Below are 17,979 nucleotides of genomic sequence, written 5' to 3'. Positions count from 1 at the left end.
AATGTTAAACTTGCGAGGCCCACAGTTGTGGGAGCCAACTCCTTGAAATCAGTCAATCTCTCCCTTCTCTCCCTTTTTCTCTTTACACACACACACACACACACAAACACGCACACACACACACACCCCTATCCACCCACCCACCCAGTTGGTTCTCTTTCTCTGGAGAAACCTGTTAAACTTGAGTGCTTATTAGAAATGCAAATTCTTAGACCCCACTCCAGACCTGGTGAATGGAAGTGGGGTGGGCCCCAGCGGTCTTCTTTAACAAGCACTCCTGCTAGTGCTGGTGGCCCCCAAGCCTGAGGGCCACCGTAGGCAAATGAAAGAAGCCCCCTTATACCATTGAGGAAATTTAGGTTCTGAAAGATTTAAATAACATGCCCAAAGTCATCCAATTGGTTAATAGCGTCAGCCAGATCTATTCTTGGTGCTTTCAGAAAGATAAAATAATATCCATTGATACCTTAGTAATTTTTGAATCTGCTTTTATATAATCGTTCATTGTTATGATGCCCATTTTCCTTAAGGAAAAAAATAACATGAAGGGACCCAACTATATCGATATGGTATGTGAGAGCAGTGATTCCAAATCTTTGTACCACCAGGTATCACTTCTATTATTTCATGTAATGAGAGATTTTTGTTGACTAAACAAGCTGCATTTTACAGGGATATTTATTTGGCCATACTGCAGCTCCAGGCTCCTGACTGGCACGAGTTGGCCAGTGCTGCTAGCTCAAGTGATGCATCGCAGCCAAAAGCAGAGAGGCTTGATGTTTTAATTAGCCTGGAAACCTAAATGTAGAATTTTCTTTAGGCATTTTGAATATTGAACATAGCTACGGACTTTTCATTACTATATTATAGTTTTCCAAAACACCTGGAGACCCTTGTGGGGTATCTTTGCTCTAAAGAATATTTTCAGGTATAGATGCTTAGTGCTGCCATATGTACAGCTAGGATGTATTATAAGGGCATAAAAGATAAATTCCCAAATCTTAGTAGTACACCACTTTTTCATTCACCAGTTCTGGTTTAGGTGGCAGCTCTCCTGCAAGCAGTAGATCAGAGACTCATGGTCGGTCTTTCTGTCTTGAGGCTCCATGGCCATCAGCATGTAATTTCCAAGGTTGCTGGGCAAGCAGGAGAGTGTGGCAGTGTTTCCTGGTCAGGCTGGCACGTGGTGTTCATCATTTCCATCCATATTCTGTTGGCTGGAACTCAGTCACATGGACTCATCCAACTGCTAGAGAGGCTGGGGAATGTCGTCTGATCGTGTGCCCAGGAACAGGAAGAAATCAGTTTGATGATCAACTGGCAGTTTCTGCCACCTGCGGCTTCAGTGCTCTGATTGTTGGTAGTTTTGTGTTTCTGCCCATGATGGATTTATGTCCCTTCCTGATAACCACAGTGTGGCGGATATGAGTGGTGGTAATAGACTTAGGCGTTATTAATGCCACCTGACTCTTTCTGAGTCCTTCCTAGCTTGTGCAAACAGAGCCACAGAAACTATAACTCAGATTGTACTGGCTCTTGCCCACACCTTCAGCTGGGATCTTCTACCATTCCTAGGTTTTCATCTCTTTATATCTTATGGACTAGTTTATTGGCAATACTTACCATATGGCCTCTATCATCATTTTGCTCTCCCACTTCATGTGCACTCCTACTTCTCTTGCCACCATTTAAATTCACTGCCTGTTTAGTCATCTCAGGGTACCCCAGTACTACCACTGTGCCAAGAGAGTACTGTCTTTTGGGATCCATAGCCACTGTCCCCCTAGAGGCTTGAGTGGTACTGTATTAAGAGCAGAAGTAAGGAGAATACCCTTTGTCTTAGTTATCTGTTGCTATGAAACAAATTATTACAGAGAACTATAATTTATTTTTCCTCCCAAGTCTGGGTTGATCAGGGTGACTGAGCACTTATTCTGTTCCATGTACTTTTGGCTTAGTCACTCAGGTGGCATTCAGCTGGAAACTTGGCTGGAGCAGATAAGTCCCAGATGGCCACATCCTTCAGGGCTTCTCTCCATGTGACCACTCATCCTTCAGTAGTCTGCCCTGGCTTTCCTTTGAGCTTGGCTGCAGGGCTCTAAGAAAGAGGCAGCCGCCAGGTTTCTTAACCTCTTGAAAGTCTTTCATCACTTCCACTGCATTTTTGTTGGTCAAAACAAGTCACAAAGCCAGCCCAGAGTCTAAGAGAAAGGAAAAAGGTCTTGTGTGTTCAGGGATGGGAGGAATTGTTGGCGACTATCACCATGTCTTGTCAGCCTGTCTACTTTGCAGCTTGTACCTCAGGGCTGTGCTACCTGTATTGCAGTATGTCAGTCACTCATTGAATGATTCCTTCTACCACCAGTTTAACCATTCTCCGGAGGGTTCAGGCTACTGCCATCATCTTGATAGCCTCAATTCTGGGAATGTGAGGTATGCGGAGGAAATAATGAATGAAACAGTTTGGCTGGTGCTGAGAGTTTGTGTTATGAGGGTAGTGAGCTTGAAGAATTAAGCAGTTCCTGAATTCTAGGCTAACGGGCTGGGGAGCTTGAAACCAGTGGTGGTAAATTGGAGAATAGTCTTTAAGGAACATGAATCCCACAACGATGTATAAAGAAGATTGATTTGTGACTTAAATAATCGTAAATTTCAAAATTGCTGAAAAAGAGTAGGTCTTAAATATTTTAGCACAAAAAATAAGTGTGTGAGGTGATGGATTTATTAATTAGTTTGATTTAATCATTCTATAATGTAAACATGTATCAAGACATCACAGTGTACCCATATAATACATACATATAGTTTATGTATACATAAATACAATTATTTGTTAATTAAAAATTAAATTTTAAAAAGCATATATTAAAAATAACATTTTAAAGATAAGTAAATATTAAAAAGAGGGTTGAAGGGTAATATCATTGGCCATAGCCACCATATGCAGACATGGAATGAGCAGTCGTCCATGGACTACAGGGAGAATAGGAAGGCCTAAAAGAAACAGTCATGAAAGGCAAAGGAATAATCACTGTGACTCTGAGATGATGTGGGCAGGCAGAAAGAAAGCAGGGGAGGCTGGGAGCAATGAACTCTCCCATAAATACCAGTTAAAAAATATTGGTAGCAGAGAGGTCTGAAGTTAATATGGAACACCAGCACTAATTGGAAATAACTGAGGGACTGTTATAATTATTTAAATCCTAGTTTGGTCTTGTGGGGGGTGGTGGTAGATTTGCTTTATTAGTCAGCTTAGAATGTGTTATCCCATGGTAACAAACAGCCCCATATCTCAGTGGCTTATGGCAACGCAAGATAACTTTCTTACCTGTATTTTGGCTACGGCAGGTTAGCTCGAATCTGCTTCACATCTTTTTGCTGTCCAGGCTCAAGAAGCATCTCCTATCCAGAGCATGCCTGTCTCAGGGTGGAGGAAAAAAAAAATTGATGGAAGCACATGATAAGTCTCAAGGTTTTTGTTGGGAGTTGTACGTGTCCCTTTCGCTCATATTTTATTTTTATTTCATGAGTCAAAGTACGTCACATCATTAAGCCTGATGTCTATGGGGACAAAAATTATACTCCTCCCATAAAAAGAGGCACCAGGAAAGGGTCACTAAGAAGGGGCAGTGGATATTTTTGAATAAATAGTGTAATCAGCCACAGTTGCATTTTTTCTATTTATATTACACAGATATGAAAAATCATCATAGAAAATACAGAAAAGCACATGGCAAGTATTTCCAATCACCCCCAAAATTTCTCTCACTAGAAATAACTCCTGCTATTAGTATGTTGATGTAAATATCTTCAGACATTTTTCCCTGGGTAATGTTTATAACAGAATCAAATGATATGTACTATCCTGTAACTCACATACTGACTTAATGGCACATGATGAACATGCATCCACATCAATAAGTCTTCATCTACATCCTAACTCATACCTGTCCTCTGGAATTCCACTGTATGAATACACCATAATTTAATTGTTGGACATGTATCTTTAATAAAATGTTATAAGCATCCGATATGTACATATTTTGCACATTTAACAGACTATTGCTCTTGGATAAATTTCTAGCAGTGAAATAATTGAAAGGAGTATCTTTTAAAAGTCCTTTTTGATACATCATTGACAGATTTTATAGCTTATTTGTTAAGGCCCACTCTTTCTTTTCCGTCTCCTACAATGGAGTAGTGTTACCATAGCAATAGAAAAAAAAATTCAGCACTCTCATAGAAGTGCGTAATTTGTCTTTGTCTTCATTTTAACCCAACAAATTACATTCTGTGCCAAGGTTGGCACATAAAATACCTGAGCAGAGCTTCTTGGGTTAAGAGGTCAGTGCTCTCTGTGAGGTGACCTCCACCATCTCTGGTTACCGTTTCACAAATTGGCTCCCCTGTTGTCTGCTGGGAAATGCTTTGTCAGGAACAGTTGGTCAGACAAGTTGTAGTCCGTGACTAATAGGTGTCCCATCAGCATGTAATTTGGAAAATGATCAGTCATAAACAAGGCAGTTTATGGAAAGATGAATTAATTTTCAAAAAACATTATGGTAGATTTATTTTGGGATCTGAAACATTTCTCACGATAGTTAGAAAGCACAATACAAGCTAACTGTCATCTGGATTTTGTTGAAGAGAGGGAGAAAATCGATGATGATGAAATGGTTAATTTAATGATATTTAGTCCACACTCCAGAGAGGGACTGCTATTATAAAAGCTAACTCCGAAATCTGGATTTGGAAATGGGTGGTTGAATGAAGAGATGGTCATAGATGGTCAGATGTAACGTGTGAGGCATCCACGTGAGGTCCTCATGGGGTGAAGGGAAGAATGCTGCACTTGGGGAATGGGGAAGGCAGAGGTGAGCATCAGAAAAGCATCTTGGTTATCCAGCTGCCTCCATTGGGCTGGGAAACCCTGAAGCTAGACTTATACAACTCTTCAGTGTTGTTACCTAAAATACCAAGTTGCCTCTTCTGTATGGCAGAAAATAAATTTACATTTATATTGTAAAATGCAGTTTCATGTGGTAACTGGAGCAAGAGCCATCACACCACATTCTTATCTTGCTTACCTTTTTTCCTTAGAGAAGGCAGGGTAACAAGGGGTGGGGCGTGAGCTCTGGAGAAAGACAGAGGAGCTTGAGCTTTGGCTGTGTAACTTTCTAACTGTGTAACCTAGGCTTTCACCTTTTACCTCTAAGCTTTCCCCTTTACAAAATGAGACATAGTAGCAATGTGTACCATATATACATATATATATATAGTGGCATCAGTCATTAATCATATATATATATAGGGGCATCAATCATTAATCATATATATATATATATATATGATTTTTAAAAATCCATACAACACACAGTAAGATCCCTGCCTGGCACATAGGGAAAGGTGAGTAAATTGTGGCTATTTTTAATCAATATAATGGTTACAATTTTTTTCAAAAAGCGGTAGAATACTCTTAAGGGGTTAGATTCCTGTGGTCAAGGGCAATTCCATAGCCCTCAGTATCATGCTCATGGAGATGGTTTTAACTGAAACCTTAAATATTTCTAGTTGTCCTGATTTTTTGGTGCTGTAAAAAAGCACACTTCAATATTTTAGTGAATTAGTACGTGAAATTTATGTCTTCACATATCAGTGAAACGTGGGTGCTGCTGGACAGAGGATACTTTACTTCACATGGTGATCCAGAATCCAAGCGGCTTCCTTTCGTGGCTCCACCATCACTTAAGACCCCAAATTTCATCACGGCCAGCAGAGAAGGGAGAAGCATATAGGGGCTCTATGAGGAAGTTTTTCATGGGCCTGGCCTGAAAGTGGCACACATCATCTCTGCTCACATTCTGTGGCCTAACATTCACTAGCACACCTTATTGCAAGTAGGGTAAATAGAACTTCAGAGTAGGCAGTCACTTCCTGGCAACAACTCTACATTATAGAAAGGGGGCATGAATTTTGGAGAATAGCTGACTACCTAATGTATGCTGTGGTTCTAAAACATAGTCAAGCGAAGGCTGAGATCTTTTTGGTGTGTCACCAAGTTTTTAAAGAAAGAAATGATGAGATTTGGTGATAGAGGAGAGAAATAGGAATGAAGAATGATTTGAGGATTTTAACTGGTAAATGTAACCAGGCTGCTGATCATACCATTGTAGGAAAATGTACCATTGGCCAGGACAGCACGTTTGTGGGAAAAAGAAGGGTGTTTGGGGCATAAGGAGTTTGAAGTGACTGTGAGATGTACTGTGGGATTTGAAGTGACTGTGAGATGTACTGTGGGAGTCTTCCTTAGGCAATTGGTAAAACAGGCTTAGAGCTTCCGTGTGTCCATTTTTCCTAAGGAGGACAAGTATGACCTGCCTTTACATTTGCATGTATCATTTTAGTTATTGAGCTGTCAGAAAATGATTCTCAGAATTCACTATTTTGTGATAAGAAATGCCCTACCCAAATGGCAGGGAAAGTAGGCTTTTGTTGGAAAGATTTTTTAGAATGTGTGTTTTCGAGAGGATCATGCCTAATATACCTTGGGACTGTATACACTGTTACATGATTAATGATTCATGCCACTGCTGCCCAGAAAGAGTGAGTCACTTTGGAATAGAAGAGACCACTTGAAGAATGTAGATCCAGAAACTCTAGGTAAGCAATCCATGTTAGTTATAGTGTCATATCTGGTATCTGCACGCTTTTTATGGTATTTTGATTAAGTTGGCCTTAATGTGGGACAGCATGACTAGCTGCTTTATTTTATTTTATTTATTTATTTATTTATTTATTTATTTATTTATTTATTTTGAGGCAGAGTCTCACTCCATCATCACCCACGCTGGAGTGCAGTGGCGTGATCTTGGCTCATTGCAACATCCACCTCCCACACCTCCCAGGTACAAGCAATTCTCCTGCCTCAGCCTCCCTAGTAGCTAGGATTACAGGCATGTGCCACCATACCCAGTTAGTTTTTATATTTTTAGTAGAGACGGGATTTCGCCATGTTAGCCAGGCTGGTTTCCAACTCTCGTTCTCAGGTGATCCATCCACCTCAGACTCCCGAAGTGCAGGGATTACAGGCATGAGCCGCTGCACTCAGCCTAGTTGCTTTTATTTAAACAGCATTTGTCGAACTCACACTACAGGGCAAGAGTTTTCTTAATCCTCAGATTCTGTAAAAAAGTGTTTATTACCAGCAGCAGTCTTTCTCCATAGCTTCTTATCCAGATACCTCACTTAATCATTCATCCAGAAGGAGTATTTTCTGTAGTATAATTTCCACTTCTTTGGTACTACCTGTATTTAATTCAATATGCTTTTAAGGCAAAGTACCAGTGAGTTTCTTGTGCTTGAGAATCTTCCACCTTGGTGTTCCCAAGCCATCTTCATCTTGGCAAAATCACTTGATACATTTGGTAATCACCTTGCCTTTACCAATTCAGTAGGTTTTTTGTCTATATTGAAACGTATTTAGTGGCGCTGAGGGTCTTTTCTAGATTTCAGATGGAGAAAAAAAAAGGTACAGCTTGATCTATATTACTGCACTCTTTTCCTGTTATGATAATGTAGCCATTGCTTCATTCTGTAAACATTGATGACACATTTAGTTACCAGGCAATGAGCTAGGTGCCAGGGATGCAAAGATTACTGGGGCATGGCCAGTACCCTCAGATAGCTTGTGGCTTTTTGTTTTTTGTCTTTTAAAGGTGGGGTAAGGGGAGTTGACCTTCGATCAAATATGTACAGCAAAGTGCTGTGATAGGAGTTAGCAAGCATAGGGTACAGTGGGGCCCCACAAAATGGTTCATTCTGCCTGGAAAGATAAGGAGACTGGAAAGAACTTTCTATCAGAGGAGGCTGTGAGCGAAATGGTGGCTTGGTGTTGAGCAGGCAGGCATAGAGGACATGGGCATTTCAGGTTAAGGGTCAGTGTGAGTAAATTTATGTGACTCTGAAATTATGTGTGGGAAAGCAAATAGTTCAGCTGACTGGACCATAGCTTAGGTAGGGGCTTAGCTGGAGTTGAAGCTTGATGTGTAAATAGGTGCTACATCTGGGAGGAGTCTGTCCTTCATGCTAAGGAGCTTGGATTTTATCTTTTGGGCCATAGGGAGCCACTGAAGGAAATTAAGCATAGGAATGACATTACTGACTTAGAAAGATCACCGTGGCAAAGGATGGAAGAACAAACTTAGCAATTCATATTACGTTTTATTTCTGGACCACAGAGGTTGGGACATGTATTTCCATGTGTTTGAAGTATTATCAAACATCTTTTGAGGATCACTATGACTCAGATCTAGAAATGCACTTATGACAAAGTACGAGACAGGCACGAATTCCTTTGTTCAGCAGCTCTGCATTAAACACGGACCTAAAGAAGCTTGAGATCACCAGCCATTTCGTCCCAGGGCACTACGCTCCCACCTGGAAAAGGTCATTGGTAAAACTGCACTGAAAACTGCCCTCAGGTTCTGCTGCCTGAACATCATACTGTCAAGTGATATATCTTAAATGAGAAAATAGCATGCTGGTCCGAGAAAAGGAGTGTGCCCTTTTTCTTTTCTTGTTTTGTTGGTTGGTTGGTTGGTTGGTTGGTTGGTTGAAGGCAGGATCTTGCTCTTTTACCCAGGCTCAAGTGCAGCCCGACTGACGACCCACTCCCACAAGCAAACTTTGAGCCTGTTTCAAGATAAAGTTTCATGAAGTTCCATACATACTTACTGTGGCATATATGTAGTTCTTAATCATCTAATATGTGTAAAACTGTGCTATTTTTATTAGGTTCCTCTATGTCACTAACAAAACTTTATGAGTGACCCCTAGCCCCAATTTTCCTGTGAGCCCTGTGGTTTTTACCATGTGATTTTGCATAGCAAGGTATTTGTTCCTAATGCCTGTGCTGCATGATGGCATAACTGACTGTTTTTTAAGGATTAAATATTAGGATGCACATGATAAAATTCTCAGTACAATATTCACACATTATGGGCATCAGTCCAGACTGATTTTCTTCCCCTCATGAAGTGATTCAATGGGGACCAGATCAAATGGGAAGAGTCTTTTTGGTGGGAATCATTAGGGGTCACACTTCACCATCAATCGAGGGGACAGGATGTTTGGTGATGAGTTCCTTCAGCCTGTCCTGTCTATTCTGTTTACCAGCACACCTGGCCTAATGGGAGTTGTGCTAATTAGTACTTAAGCTTTGTCTCCAACTTCAAACTCACCCTTCTGTACTTAGCTTTGTTTTTGGACTGGGAGTTCCTGAAGCTGGTTCTTCAAGTCCTTAGATTCTGCCTATAGGAGCACCAGAAGAAGACTGGGAGACTAGAGGAGAGGAGAAGCATTTGCTCCTTCCTATATATTTGCAGTTCCTGTTTTCACCCTAGCAACAGTGGTTGGTTTCAGTCTCCAGTTCATTTTGGTACACCCAGTACCAGCTGGGCAGCTCCTCAGAAGTCTGGTGCCCAGCTCTGCAGAGTTCCTCCTCCAAACTTCCAGATTCTAATTACCCTGTCTCCTCCTTACGTTCCCTAGGGGTGGTTGTTGCTTCTTCTGGTTTTGATGCCTGGATTGCCTCAGTGTTCTTCGTTTACTTTTTCAGTTCCACAACACCAATTTAACTAATTTCTTATCTCAAATTCTCTCTGGTAAGATATCTGGTGTGGTTTCTGTTTTCCTCCTAAGATGGAAGATTTAGTGATTACAGTGTAACTAGCAGAAGTGGTATTACACCACTACCACTATTACACTTTTGCTATTACAGCAAAAGATAGGAGGGCTCATTGAGGACTCAGATTTGCTAGGCCTGACTGAGACGTAGAAACCCAGACATGGTATGGTTAGGATGCCAAAGGAATGCCAGTGAGGTGAAGAACTTGACTCCTGGAGCCTGAGTTCTTTTATTTACTAGTTATTTCTTCAGTAGCCTAGTTGACACCTTTAAATCTGAATTTCTTTATCTGGAAAAATGGGATAATAATATCAGTGGGTTGTGGTCAGGAGTAAATGAGATGATGCTTACAAAGTGCATAGGGCAGTGAGTGGCACATGAATGCATTCTCGCCTAAGGGTTGCCCATTTCTATGGTGATGATGGTGACCCTGGGGAGTGCCTTTTGATATCTGTGGCTGCAGTTACTAAAATACTTTTGTTTTGAAAAGGCATCAAGACAGACATAGCCCATATTTTCAGCACTGAAACATAAGTGATCATTCCCTCTCTTTCTACCCATAGGAAACTTGCTGACTGTGAAAAAGAGTGACTCACCTTTTTGAAGTTCATTTTAAGCAGAAAACTTTCTTTGATGACTTCAATTTAGAATGGTTGGTTAGTTGCTTTGCAGGGGAGTTGCAGCTCATCTGTTGAGGAGGCTGGTGACTGTGTTCCAGTGCTTTGTCACAAAGATTGGACGTTAGAATGTGCTGTGGCCTGAAGGCATGATAGAATAGCACTGAAGTTGCCGTGATATCACTCCAATGAAATGAGGACACTTTACTTCCCCACACTTAAAGAGAAAAACCCTCCATAGAATTAGTGTGAGTCTTCCATTTGAGTGATGGGTATGAATTTGTTCTATAACATTTGGGTTTATGGATGTTATATTTTCTTATTATTCAAAACTTAAATGTGAGTCTAAACCCATACATGCCAAAGTGGACAGATGACCGATACTAATGAGGTGGGGATCTTCATAGAGTTTTACATGCCTTCCAGAGACCTTACACAGTTCTGACATTCTGGGATGTGCCGTTTGTTCTGATCTACATTGGTCACCACCAGGCAACTTACTGAAATCAACATGGTCCATTTTAAAGGCAAGTTATATACAGCAATCATTTGTCAAGGCTCTAGGCGGAAGGATTTGGTTCATCCCTTCCAGGCATCATGTAGTCTTATTTGGAAAATCAACTTGGGCACATATTTGCCTTCTCAGGTGAAGGAAGGTTAACTCTTCCCTCTCCCAAATCAAAGAAACCATTTATGTTAATTTAACCCAAACCTGGATAGAAGTAAGAGGGCAGGAACCCCACCCTCTTCCCTTGCTACCTTCTGCTCCCTTTTAGCCCCCAGGTAAGACCCCAGAACTCAGATGACAAGGGCATGGCTACATTATTATAACAGAAGAAATGCCGCTCATGATTTTGCTTCTTAAAGCAGTTAGTAAAATGCAGATTATTTTCTGAATAGATATTATGCCACAGTGCTACATTCTAGAACCACAGCCTAGACTTTGCGTTCAGCAACTCTAACCTTGACGATTCTGCATGGCACTGGCTCTGTTCAACATATAAGGAAACTGAGGATTCAGGAACGTATATGATATGCCTTAGGATATGACATGAGCCCGGATTAGAAGATCACTTTTAATATGTGAGACTTTGGTACATGTTTCCTTATAAGAAGACTGGAAAAAATAGATGATTTGATGATCAACTCAAAATGAAAGAGAAAGGGCTATCCATGTGAAGGAGAACTTTGTACCTTGGAATTATATTTATACTTGAAAGTGTTCAGCATAGGTGTTTTGCATTTTGCCTTTAAAGAGAAAAATAAAGTGAACATAAATATAGATAAAATTGTGACTATGACCTAATGAATGCTCTGAGGTTAGAGGTTGTTACCTGCAGGAAGCCTGCTCGTTGCATTAATGTTGCAATGGCATGCTTTGATTTCTGGGCCAGGTTGTGTGACTGCAAGTATTTTGGTACATTGGTATTTTAAGTTGTTGGCCTAGAGCTATTAAACAGGAGATCACTGGTTATGAGGATGTAAAATCCATTGGCATGACCCCTTTTCTCCTGTACCCGCATACCCACATGGTGGTTTAATGACCTTTTATTTTATTTTATTTTATTTTACCTGCATTACCACAAGTGTAACTTGCTTTAAGAGCACCTGGCAGCGAAAGCAGTAGGCTCATAATTAGAAAATAAATGTACAATTTTAAATGGGAGAAAAACTCATCTGACCAATAAAACCCACCCATTGTGTTGCTTTAAATAATAACCTGGCGTAATGCATTTAGTTTCATCCAGGCAACACATTTATTGAAAGCTTACTTTGTGCTAGGCGCTGTTCTAAGTGTTCTGGACATATCACTGAACACAATACAGATTCCTGCCCTTGTGGATCTTAAAGTCTTTTGAAGGAAGCAGGCCATAAACATTAGGCATAGTATATACATATATACACGTACATATAGAAAAAGTAAGATATGCACTGTGGATAAAAAAGGAGAACAAGAGACCTCCAGAATTGGGGTGAGGAGTGTTACATTGTTAAATTCAGTGGTCCAAAGGATTGTATTTGCATGAACTTATATTGGATATTGCTAAAAGTTGGAATACTAATCAACAAAGGGTTTTCAAAATGTACCTAGGACTTATCTAGTTATTCTAAGGCAAATCTGACCTGTAATTTTTGTATCGGATGGTGAAAACGGATATTGCAATGTAGTTTCGTTGTTTCGAGTCAAAGATGCTCCGCTCTTGTTTTCCTTCTGCCTATGACATCGCATGGAGTTTACCAGACATAGTTTCTCCACAGATATGTTAAGTCTAGAAACACTAATTTTTGTAATGTGATTTATTCACCTTCTGGTTTAATACATTTAATTTGAAAAAATTAGAATAAGTGTGCAGATATGCTGGATATATGCTGGATAGCACATTTACAAATTAATTGTTCCTCATAAAGTAATGATTGTCTACTTTTATCACTTCTCAAATAGACTTTCTAGAAGTAGTTTTTCCAGAGATAAACAAACACCCTCTTTGTAATGGTGAGTGAGAAAAATCAATTTGATTCATTTTTGGCCAAATGTAGGTAAGCAGCTGCGGGATTAAGTTTGTGAATTTATTTATTTATTTTTAAACAAGAAGTTTATTTAAACAAGACACTTGACTTGAAGGGAACACTACTGAGGATTCATTTTTTTAGAGTAGTTTATCCCTACTTAAAGACATTGCCCTATATATAACAGCTGTATACAAAAAAGTTATAAAATTGGCTTTGGTTTACCAGTGATGAATGAAAAACGTTCAAATTCTCCAAGTGAGCCAATCAAAGATATGCAAGGGTTTTTGTTGTTGTTATTGTTAAAATTGAGAACAAAATAATTTACTGGAATATAAAAATGAGAGCTGAATGAGCATGCAACTAATGAAGAAAGGGGGCATTTTCACAGATCCAGTACTTTTTCCCCATCTCATCTCCATTTCATGACCATCAAAAAATACCATTGGCCATTTAGTTTAAAAAAAAAAAGCATTATGCTTGTGCACATACGCAAGCTACTTTATATACAATAAAAGAATAGGGAAGAGGGAAATGAAAGAACAGAGAATGCTGTAGTAGTCAGGATGTGGTAAAACCGAATTAGAGTTTTCTAGTTGAGATTGTATTCTTAGTCTGTAGGAAAAGAGTTCTGGAGTTAAGTAGTAGGTTCATTTGTTAGTAGACGCCTCCTGTCTGCTGCTGGAATACATCAGTTGTATCTTCATCCTTGTATTTAACTGTGCACGTGTGCCTGTTTTATTGATTGGAATTTGATCTGCCTCAATGACAATAGGCTTTCATTAGTTTACTAAGTGGTGTATACTACCTAAGCTTAAACTACACCCCAGATGTATTATGCCCATCCACCTTCAAAGTAATGCAGTGGTGGTTCTGAGTCTTCATTCCTTCGTTGGGCTTTTCATTGGCCTCAGTGGGTGCCAGAATCTCCTCAGCTGCCACCTCACAAAGGAGGTATCGAGTCTTCACCTAAGGAGCACTGAAGTGGCACCAGCAGTGGCAAAAGCAGTTTAAAAATTTAATTTGAAATCAATTTCTCACTTTTCCCTTACCTGCATTGCTAAAGGGACCCATTTTTAACAACCTTTGAAAAATCTGGCAGGCAGTATTTAACTGGTGTCACAATTCATCAAATATATGTTTGGAGTATTTTGTTCATTTTACTAGAGTTATTATTTTTGCATTGGAAAATTTTATCATTTGACTTTTTGGCAGTTATCAACCCATATAAATCAATCTGAAATCCCATTATAGCCATACTTTTTGAGAGAAGGAATAAAACACAACTATTTAACAAAACTGTTCATTTTTTTCAGTGTTTTTTATGGAAACAAGTTTCTTTTGACCATGAAACATTGTCTGAAAGAAATAATATGGTCCATCAAATGCTTTCAAAAGTTGCTGATTCTTCATTAATGTATACGTTTTAACTGTATGTGTGGAAAGGAGCCAGGCACGGTGGCACATGCCTACAATTCCAACTACTGAGGAGGCTGAGGCAGGATTGCTTAAGGCTGCGAGTTTGAGACCAGCATGGGCAACATAGCGAGACCCCCATCTCTACAAAAATAAATGAATGAAATAGGTATGGAAAGGAAAAAGAAAAAAGAGCTAATAATACGGAACTCTGCTTCTTACTTTGGTTCCAAAAGAACTGTTTAGCTCTTTTCAGCCCCAGCATCTCTGCTGTGGAACACAGATGTGCAAGTTCTTACCCACCTTGTGCCCTCACTCTAAGGGAGATGAGGAGGGAAAAGGAACTGAGTAACTACTTGGAGGCAGACACTGCGAGGTACCAGTGAAAGTCACGATGTGGCTCACGCCATGCTGATTCTGTTCTGAGCTCACTGTACAGAGCATTGGTTCATTGCCATGTGTAATCTACACTTAATCCTTTGAGACGAGTAGCTGATATTATTGCCATTTACAGGTGAAGAAACTGAGACATAAGGAATTAAAGGTGGCCTAATAATACAAGTTTTAGTCAATTTTACTGGATTTCAAATTGGTGTTCTTTTTTTCTGCATAGGGAACCAAGATATGAATGCCAAAGTATACTGATGTTTCTCGCTCCTCTTATCCAGGAAATGCTCTCTGAGGAGGCCTTAGGGAAACATTTCAGAAGCAGCCTTGTTATTCTGTCATATTGGCCCATTTATCCTTCCTAGTTCTCTCCTTTCTCCCATGGCACTGGGTGCTGTCCAACATTGTAATATGTGTCTGTTTAGAATTTTGTTTAATGGTGGTAGAAACTTTAATTAGCGGTGATTCACAGCACCTAGAACAATACCTGGCTTACAGCAGGCATTAAATAAATATTTATTGAATGAGTGCATGAATCCATCCTCCTCCACTCCTTCAGTCTTCTTACCCCCATGCTCTGCATTTGCTGGAGATTCTAAGAAGGGAAGGCTGCTGCCCCTGCCTACCCAGAACAGAGCACTTTCCATCCTTGCCCGTTGACTGCCCACTTTGAGGAAGCAGGCCCTGTGGTTGTGAAGCCTTTTGTCAGACTTATGATGTAATTTCTAGCCCTGAACTCCTTTTGACCATCAGGAAATTCACCTGGGATGTCCTTGTGTAATGAAATTGCTCTTAACAATCCCTGAAATGCTGAGGAAAGCCAGGTTAAAGAACCCTTATTTTGTCTACAGTACTTTAACAGGAGACTCAGATCATTCAGTCCTAATATCTGTGAAAGTAAGTCATCTGAGAGTCAGGGCAAACGTATTTCAATAAATAAGAACCGGCAAGTTTATTTTAATAAATAAGACTGACTGTAGAGATCAAATGCAAACTACTTACTAGTCCCATATGCCCTCTAAAACCTTTAAAAGAAAGGCAAAATATCAACATCAGTTCCCTTTTTATTTCTTTTCCTTGGAAATTTTGAACCTAATGTTAAGTTTGCTTTGAGAAGAGAGAAGAAAACATAACGTGTTTATATCCAAGGCCAGCTGGTATGCCCCTTGGGGCCCTTCTGGCTTAAAAAGTAGCATAGTTCAGGTGCCTACGCTCTAGTAGGATCTCTATTACTTTCTGCTATGGAGATGAATTACAAACTTTTACTTTAGAATTTGGATCAGATGATATAAACCAGTGGTTGCTCAGCTGCATCTAGCACCAGGTGTATTTTTTGACCTGGATGACTTTTACTTTCATTGCCAACATTTCAGAATTGGGAGATTTCACAATAAAATTTGTATTTTCACTTCTCTTAAAATATCACATTTGCCATACTAGACCTGCATGCTGTCATGGCAAAACATTGGGTTAGAGTTGAATAGTGGCTGCCCTTTGGATAGGGCCTGGACTTGCCACTTTGTCCTGATTCTCTGTTCTCTAAGTACTTCCCACGCTTGCTTCCCTCAAATACTTGTCTGGCTCCAACAGAATTTAGGCAGCAACTGATTCAAGGCTGGCTTAAAAAACTCAACTCTTGGCCATACCTCATACCTCTGCTCTCTCCCCCTCAAAGTACTGCATCTTTCTTTGGGTCTGAATTTTTTTATAGCAATGCCCAGGTTTCACCAGGGTGGCCAAATTGATCGGAACCTTTTAAGAAAGGCTCAGAAAGCTGATTTGGAGATTGACATGTGTCTCTGCTATTTTACCGAGATGGGAATATTTGATTCAGTGTCTGCAAAATCAAAGATAGACTGTAGCCTTCTCCTCCTTCCTGAGCTTTATCCCATCAGGAGGAGGCTCAATAGAAACTCTCAGTAGACCTTCAACATGCTGTGCTAATAACTAGAGCCAGCACCAGCTATCATGTCTGTCCAGCGGGGTAAGCACATTGACAGTCCTCTTCCTGACCACCCACTCCTTTTGATATTCAACACTCTGCTTCTTTTGCAGCCTGTTCTAGTTGGCTTTTATGTGACCCAGTGGATAGAAACCTTAATGTCAGTGCCATTAAATCAGTACCTACAAAAACATCTGAAAATGCTAAGCCCTGGCGGGAAGAATGTCCCAATTAGTACTGATAAAAGTTCAGTGAGCTGAAAACAAAAGTAACTTCAGCAAGGAGGAAGGATGAAGATACAGCTCCTCTGGCTCACTTGGAATATGCAAGGAGTCTCAAGAATTAATCTTCTTTGTTAAGTGTATTTATAACTATTTTTATAAGATAGTTTCTTTTAAATTTAGTTCACTGGTTGAAAGGGCCATTGAATGTTCCTTTGCAGATAGGTCTTTAAGACTCTGGGACTTTTCGTAAGAGTGTGTGTGTGTGTGTGTGTGTGTGTGTGTACGCGCGCCAGGGAAAGGGGATTTTAACTGCCGTGTGTGTGTGTGTGTGTGTGTGTGTGTGTGTGTGTGTATGCGCGCAAGGGAAAGAGAGGGGATTTTAACTGCTGTCTTCTCCAAGCTCCATGTATTTGAGATGTCATGGAGTTTGCACTGTATGTCCCCAGTGCCATCAGAGGAATCAGTAGGGCTTGTGTTAGGAAAAATCATGCCAACTTTCCCTGGGCTTCAGAGAGAATTTTGTGTGCTATCCTTAGATCTGATCTGAGTTTTCCATGGATATAAAAGACACGGAAAACTTTTACATACTGGGAATGTGTTTTGTTGTTACATGTGAAAAACAACTATTAGCTTTAAAGTACTATTCTTCTTTTTACCCAACTATCTCCTGCTTATCATTTAAAACTCTTTATTCAAGAAACCTTTAAAGCTCCCATCTCCTCCCTTATCTGAGCAAGGTATCCCTTCTCTTTGCTCAGAACAGCATCTGTAGTCCTCTCATACACTGTCTTATGATCAACACCATGTCTCTTGTCAGATTCCAGGCAGTATCCCCTTGAAAGATGTGTCTGTTTCTTTCATCTTTTTATCCTCAGTGCCTAGCACATAATAGGAGTGCAGTATATGATGACTGAATTTTAAAAATGAATGGATAATTGGATGAATGAATAGAGGAATACATGCCTTTTTTAGTGATTGCCAACTTAGCATAATTTCTGGATTTTATATATGATTGGACTAAAATACATCTCCTGTGGTGACTTGTCATTTTGCTTTATTTTAGGGATTTGCATATTCTGACTTTAAGTTCTAGTGTATGGCATGTTTTAGTTCAGCATAAATATGAAGCATTTTTTTCCCCAATTGGTAATTGGAGTGTTCTATGAAAAATATGCGGTGTTGAAAACAGTGACTTGGCCC

General features: G+C 39.9%; 1 long non-coding RNA gene and 1 pseudogene across 1 annotated transcript in view; one reads left to right on the top strand and one right to left on the bottom strand.

Annotated features, from left to right (window-relative positions):
- The window catches only part of LOC101929563 (uncharacterized), a 171,709-nt gene that overhangs the window by 26,572 nt on the left and 127,158 nt on the right, over positions 1–17,979 (top strand). The window lies entirely within an intron of this gene.
- Positions 13,273–13,819, bottom strand: SUMO2P2 (SUMO2 pseudogene 2; annotated as a pseudogene).

Source organism: Homo sapiens, chromosome 9 (genome assembly GCF_000001405.40).
Source record: "Homo sapiens chromosome 9, GRCh38.p14 Primary Assembly".
Taxonomy (NCBI): Eukaryota; Metazoa; Chordata; class Mammalia; order Primates; family Hominidae; genus Homo; species Homo sapiens.
The sequence above is the reverse complement of the archived record's forward strand: the minus strand, read 5'-3'. Positions and strand labels throughout refer to the sequence as shown.